Source organism: Homo sapiens, chromosome 9, assembly GCF_000001405.40.
Source record: "Homo sapiens chromosome 9, GRCh38.p14 Primary Assembly".
Lineage (NCBI taxonomy): Eukaryota > Metazoa > Chordata > Mammalia > Primates > Hominidae > Homo > Homo sapiens.
This window is the reverse complement of record NC_000009.12, coordinates 33574712-33580694: the sequence shown is the minus strand read 5'-3', so window position 1 is coordinate 33580694 and position 5983 is coordinate 33574712. Positions and strand designations below refer to the sequence as shown.

The 5983-nt window shown below is 49.6% G+C and overlaps 1 protein-coding gene and 1 pseudogene across 1 annotated transcript in view; both read right to left on the bottom strand.

Moving 5' to 3' along the window:
• On the bottom strand, positions 3681–5193 carry SNX18P7 (sorting nexin 18 pseudogene 7; annotated as a pseudogene).
• The window catches only part of ANKRD18B (ankyrin repeat domain 18B), a 51192-nt gene continuing 50461 nt past the window's right edge, over positions 5253–5983 (bottom strand). Inside the window, exons 19-20 of the mRNA NM_001353432.2 lie at positions 5680–5775; positions 5253–5526 (exon numbers count right to left, since the gene is read on the bottom strand). Of these exons, the coding sequence (NP_001340361.1) occupies positions 5254–5526; positions 5680–5775 (369 nt within the window). The 3' untranslated portion in view covers position 5253. The remainder of the gene's footprint in view (positions 5527–5679; positions 5776–5983) is intronic.

The window sequence follows — 5983 nt, the reverse complement described above, 5'->3', positions numbered from 1 at the left end:
GGAATCCTTGTCCCACATCCATGGCACAGGAGTGTGAGGGCTGGACTCCAAAGGCTTTGGGCAGATCTCCACCTGTGGGTTTGCAGTGATCAGTCCCCGCAGCTGCCCTCATGGATGGGGCTGGTGTTGAGTGTCTGTAGCTTTCCCACATTGAGGGGGCAAGCTGTTGGTGGGTCTATGAATCTGGGGTTTGAAGGATGGTGCCTCCCTGTGTGAGGGCTTCAACCTGATACATCCCTTCTTTCCTGCCCTAGTAAAGGTTTCCCATGAGGCTCTGCCTCTTGGAAAGGCTTCTGCCTGGACACCCAGGCTTTTCTGTACATCCTCTGGAGTCTAGACAGAGGCTCCCAAGCCTCTAGTCTCTTGCTCTGTGCACCTCCTGGCTTAACACTATGTGGAAGCCATCAAGGCTTGGAGCCACCTCTGAAGCAGTGACCCAAGCTGTACCTGTGCATCTTTCAGCCATGGCTGGAGCCGGATCTGCAGGGATGCAGGCAGCAGTGTCCTGAGGATGCACACAGCAGCCAGGCCATGGAGCTGGCCCAGGAAACAATTCTCTCCTTGTCCCCAGGGCCTATGACAGCAAGGGCTGCTGCAAAGGTCTCTGAAATGCCTTCAAGGCCTTTTCCCCATAGTCTTGGCTATTTGCACTGGGCTCTTTTTTTATGCAAATACTTTAAGTGCTCTTGAATTTTCCCCCTGAAAATCAGCTTTCCTTTTTGACCACTTGGCTAGGCTGCAAACTTTTCAAATTTTTGAGGTCTACTTCTCATTTAAATAGAAGTTGCAGCTTGAGGTAATTTCTCAGGTCACACATAAGAACACAGGCTGTTGGATGTAGAGAGGACACCTCTTGAGCTATGCTGCCTAGATGCTCATTCCACCAGATACATCCTAAATCGTTACTCCCATGTTCACAGTTTCAGAGCTCTCCAGGGCTAAGGCCAATCAAATGTAACCTTGGCTCTTGTTCACAAGATGTTCCTCATTTTCATCTGAGACCTTTTAATTCTGGCCTTCACTGTCCATCTTTCTGTCCTTCTGATCACAAGTATTTAACAATTATTTTCAGTGGTCCAAAATTTTCCTCATCATGCTGTCTTCTAAGTGTTCCCAACTCTTCTGACCTCTCTTTTTTACCCACTTCTGAACCTGCTTCTACATTCTCAGATATCTTTGTCACAGCCTGGTAATGTGGTAAAACAAGAAAAGTCCATTTTCAGGGGAAAAATTCACAAAGGCTTCAGATATCTTCATGAAAAGAAGCTGAGTACTGGTTACCAACACAATGGGGAAAAGGCCTTGAAGGCATTTCATAGCTCCACTTCACAGCACTAATTTTGTGTACAATCATAAAGAAAGAGGTGTAATTGGCTCACGGTTCTGCAGGCTGTAAAGGAAGCATAGTGGCTTCTGCTTCCGGGAGGACTCAGGAAGCCTCCCAATCATACCAGAAGGCCAAGGGGCAAGGAAATGCTTCATGTGGCAGCAGTAGAAGCAAGACTGAGAGAGGAAAGAGGAGCCCGCCCTGTTATACAACCAGATCTCATGAGAACTCAGTATCACAAGGTCAGCATCAAGAAGATGGTGCTTAACCACTGGTGAAGGATCTGCCCCCGCAACCCCCACCTCCACCTCCCACTGTTTCCAGGCAGAAGCCTGCTGCAGAGGCAGAGCCAGATTCATAGACCCACCAACAGCTTGCACCCCCACTGTGGAAAAGCTACAGGCACTCAACAGTAGCCCAGTCCATGAGAGCAGCCGTGGGGGCTAAAACTTGCAAAGCCACAGGTGCACTGCCCTAGTAGAGGTTGTCCATGAGGCTGTGCCTCTGCAGCAGGCGACTCCCCACTCCCACTACACCCCACCCTTCCACCACCCTACACCAGCCTACTCCTCCCCACCCTGCCCACCTCTTTTTCCTTCCACCCCACCCGCCTCCCATCCGTGATTAAATCACTCCCACCAGGCCCTCATCTTTTTGTCATTTTCCAATCCCTGCAAACCCTCCCAATCTTTGTTTGTTACCCACTTCTGAACCTGCTTCTACTTTTTCAGGTATCTCTATAGCAGGTTGGCTATGTAGTAATAACACAAAACCCGATTTAAGGGGGAACATTCAAGAAGACTTCAGAAATTTGCATATAAAGAAGCCCTGTGCTAATGGCCAAGACAAATGGAAAAAGGCCTTGAAGACATTTCACAGCTCCTCTCTGCAGTTCTAATTTTCTGTATTATCCTAAATAAAAGAGGTTTCATTGACTCAGGGTTCTGCAGGCTGTGAAGGAAGCATAGTGTCTTTTGTTTCTGGGAGGAGTCAGGGAGCCTCCTAATTATACCAGAAGGCCAAGGGACAATCAGCTGTCTCCTATGGCAGGAGTAGGAGGAAGACAGAGTGAGGAAAGAGGTTCCACAGCCTGTTAAACAACCAGATCACATGAAAACTCACTCACTATCAGGAGGACAGCATCAAGGGGATGGTGCTTTATCATTCGTGGAGGATCTACCTGCACCATTTTATGACTAAATCTTTTTCCACCTAGGCCCCACCTCTAACGTTAGGGAGTATAATTCCACACGGGTTTTGATAGGGATATAGAGACAAACCATATTATTCTGTCCCTGACCCCACGAATCTCTTGTCCTTTTCACATTGCAAAATACAATCATGCCTTCCCAGCATGAGTCTTAACTCATTTCAGCATTAACACAATGTTACAAAGTCCAAAGTCTCATCTGAGTCAAGGCTGCAGCCTCTTTTGCCTATAAGCCTCTGAAATAAAATGCAAGATCACTGCTTCTAAGGTACAGGGGTGGTACAGGCATTGTGTAAGCTTTCCATATCCAAAAGGAAGACATTTTCCAGAAAGCTTCTTATTTCTATCTGAGACCTCCTCAGCCTAGCCTTCACTGTCCATGTTTCTGTCAGGATTTTGGTCACAACCATTTAACCAGTCTCTAAGATGGTCCAAACTTTCTCATCTGTCTTCTTTTGAGCCCTCCAAACTCTTCCAACCTCTGTCCATTACCTAGTTCCAAAGCTGCTTCCACATTTTCAGGTATCTTTATAGCAATGCTCCAGTCCTCATTTGCCATTTTCTGTATGATTCATTATGAAAAAGAGGTTTAATTGGCTCATGGTTCTGCAGGGTGGACAGGAAGCACAGGGCTTCTGCTTCTGGTAGGCCTCAGAAATCTTTCAATCTTTGTGCAAGGCAAAGAAAGAGTGAGTTGTCTCACACGGCAAGAGGAAAACATGCAGAGTAGGGAGGTGACATAGAGTTTTCAATGACCAGGTCTCATGAGAAGTCACTCAGGCTTTATCCAGCCAGCTTCTTTGAGACTCTTCACAGGGTTTGAGGTCTACAGCATATACATGAAAATATTCATACTTCAAAAAGCAATAAAGTAAGTGGTATCATTCTTCCAAAAGTTACAATGGTAGTGTAGGAATTCATAGCATGGTTTAGGTCATGTTTGCTACTGTTTCTATTCTATCGCCATATTAACTGTTTCCTACACAATTCTATATTCAGCTGAGTTTCAATTGAGAACAAAGCCATCCTTGTACTACCGCCAATACCTGGCACTAGCTCTTTGCTAGTGTTATTATTCTGCTGTAGAAAGCATCCTTGAACTGGAAACAGTGCACAATCGAGTATCTAGTCATTCAACACTATCAATTCCTGGGTGACCTTTTGAAAAAATAGTATCTCTTGTTGCAAGAAATCCTGCATCTGTGAGTCCATGTTTCTCACCGGAATTGGATGGAAGTGGTGAATTTCAGCCACAGTGTCCAAAGAAATCCTGTTCCTGTGATTCTGACATCATCAGCCTCTGCACCTCTGTCTTCCCTTCTGCCACATGTTGCCTGCTCTCCATGACTTTGGTAAGAGCTTCCTTGTGTATGTGGATGATGTCCGGGATGTTGACCTGGTGTCCCTGAGACAGCACTAACAGGTCCATGACTGGGTCCAGTTCCTGGATGGGCTGATTGGCAGAGCTCACCAACGGTGTTGAAGGCATCTCTGGTGAAGTGATGGCCTGGCCCAGCTCCAAGACCTGGCTGAGGCTGAAGAACTGGCCACCTTCTGATGCTCCTTCTTAAAACCCATCACCATAATCTGCTTGCATGTCAACTCATTGGCTGAGAAGTTGAGCTGAGTGCCCTGTGTTTCTATCTTCTTGGTGAAGCACTCGAAGCCATCAATTTTGCTCTCCCACTCTTAAAGGTTGAGGGCCACCTTGGGGGTGGGCTCAGGGTCAGGAAGAAGCTGGAATTCACCACCTCATCCTTCTCAGCCTTCCTCTTGCCCTGTCTCCAGGCTGTCTCTTCAGTGCTGGTGTGACACATCAGGAAGTGATGGAAGATGTGGCACTGTGCCTGCACCCAAAAGCTGGCTGTGTGGTTCATCTACCAGATTGGGCCCTTTCTGCACTTGAACACGGAGTCCTTCTCAAGATGGCCTGTGGTCTGCCTCTTGGCACCCAAGAAGCCCACAGTTCTGTAGGAGCCCTCATGCATGGACTGGAGCCCCAAAGGCAGTGCACACCCTGCTCCTGAGCCTGCTGCTCATTTCCTCTATGTGGCTCCATCTGCAGCACAGTGGTTGCATTGAGGCCTGTGCATGCCAGGCAAGGCCAAGCTGGCTCAAAGAGCAACCAGCCACCTCTGCAAGGGTGTGCCAGGAGCAGGTGGACCAGCCACCAACCTCACTCGCTGCCAGTCAGGGTAAATCAGTTATTCTGCCCTGGAGGTAGGGCCCCAGTGCCATCTGCTTTTCCTCAGGCCTCCACTCCATCAGCCGTCAAGTGGCAGCCCCTCAGGCTGTGGGAACCTGGCCACCCCTGATTCCTTGAGTGGGTGAGGCTGGTGGCTGGTCCATCTGCTCCAGGCACACCCTTGCAGAGGTGGCTGGTTGCTCTTTGAGCCAGCTTGGCCTTGCCTGGCATGCACAGGTCCTGGGTACTGACACCCTGCTCTGAGTGAGCTTGTCCTGTCTTGGGCCAAATTCTAACTCTGGCCAGGGCCACAGAAGGCTGAGTTCCCTGGGTGGTAATGCTGACTGCTGCTGGGGGGCCCATAGTGCCCCTCCCCTCCCAGGGCCCAGGATGAGGCCTGACTGGGCCAGGACCCTTTAGGTATGGATCTCATTCCCAAGCAGGGGGCCTCTGTCCCACAGGTTGGATGAGAAGATGCTGCTGGCTGCCAGGGTTGTTCAGATGCCACGTTCACCCTTCCCTCCAGGGACATCAAAGTTTCCAGCTTCCCCTTTGAGAATGACTTCCCAAGGCCCAGGTGCCATCTGGGGCTGCAGGGCAGCTGGCTGCATGCTGCCCTGGCTTCTTCCATGTTGGGCTGGTCACTACCCACCAAGGGGGGTCAGATGCAGGCACCAAGTAGGGCGGTTGTCTCTGGACCTGCATCTTGGTTATCATGGAGCCAGACTGGGCCTGGTGACAGGGCCATGATGGGGTTGTCCTGGTGGTCCTGGGGGTGTCCAGAGGAGATGCAGAATGGAATTGCTGCAAGGATGAATGAGATGACTGTCAGCACAGAACAGGCACCCGGTGAGTGCTCAGGTATTACCCTCAGTAGCTGCCCAGAGGCCAAAACCACCCACTTGATAGTGACTGTCCCCAAGCCAGGAGGAAGAGAAGAGAGCAGGTCCCACTCACCTGAGTCTGAGCAGTCAGCTGTGTTGAGATGTGCATCTCACCTAGAAAACAATCCTTCACGCAGAGCCACTCACAGAGACTGCTGTGTGTCTCTAACTGCTCCAAAACACAGAGGCGATGGGGACTCAGCAAGAGTGACATCGTGGGATGACACAACCCACCACAACAGGAGCCTGCTTGGGTCAAGAGGGCCCAGAGTCAGTGTCCTCTATCCCCTGAACTGACATGTGTGCATGCATTGTGTTTGTGTATGCATGTGTTTGTGTGTGTCTGTACATATGGGTGTGTTTGTTTGTCTTGCTTC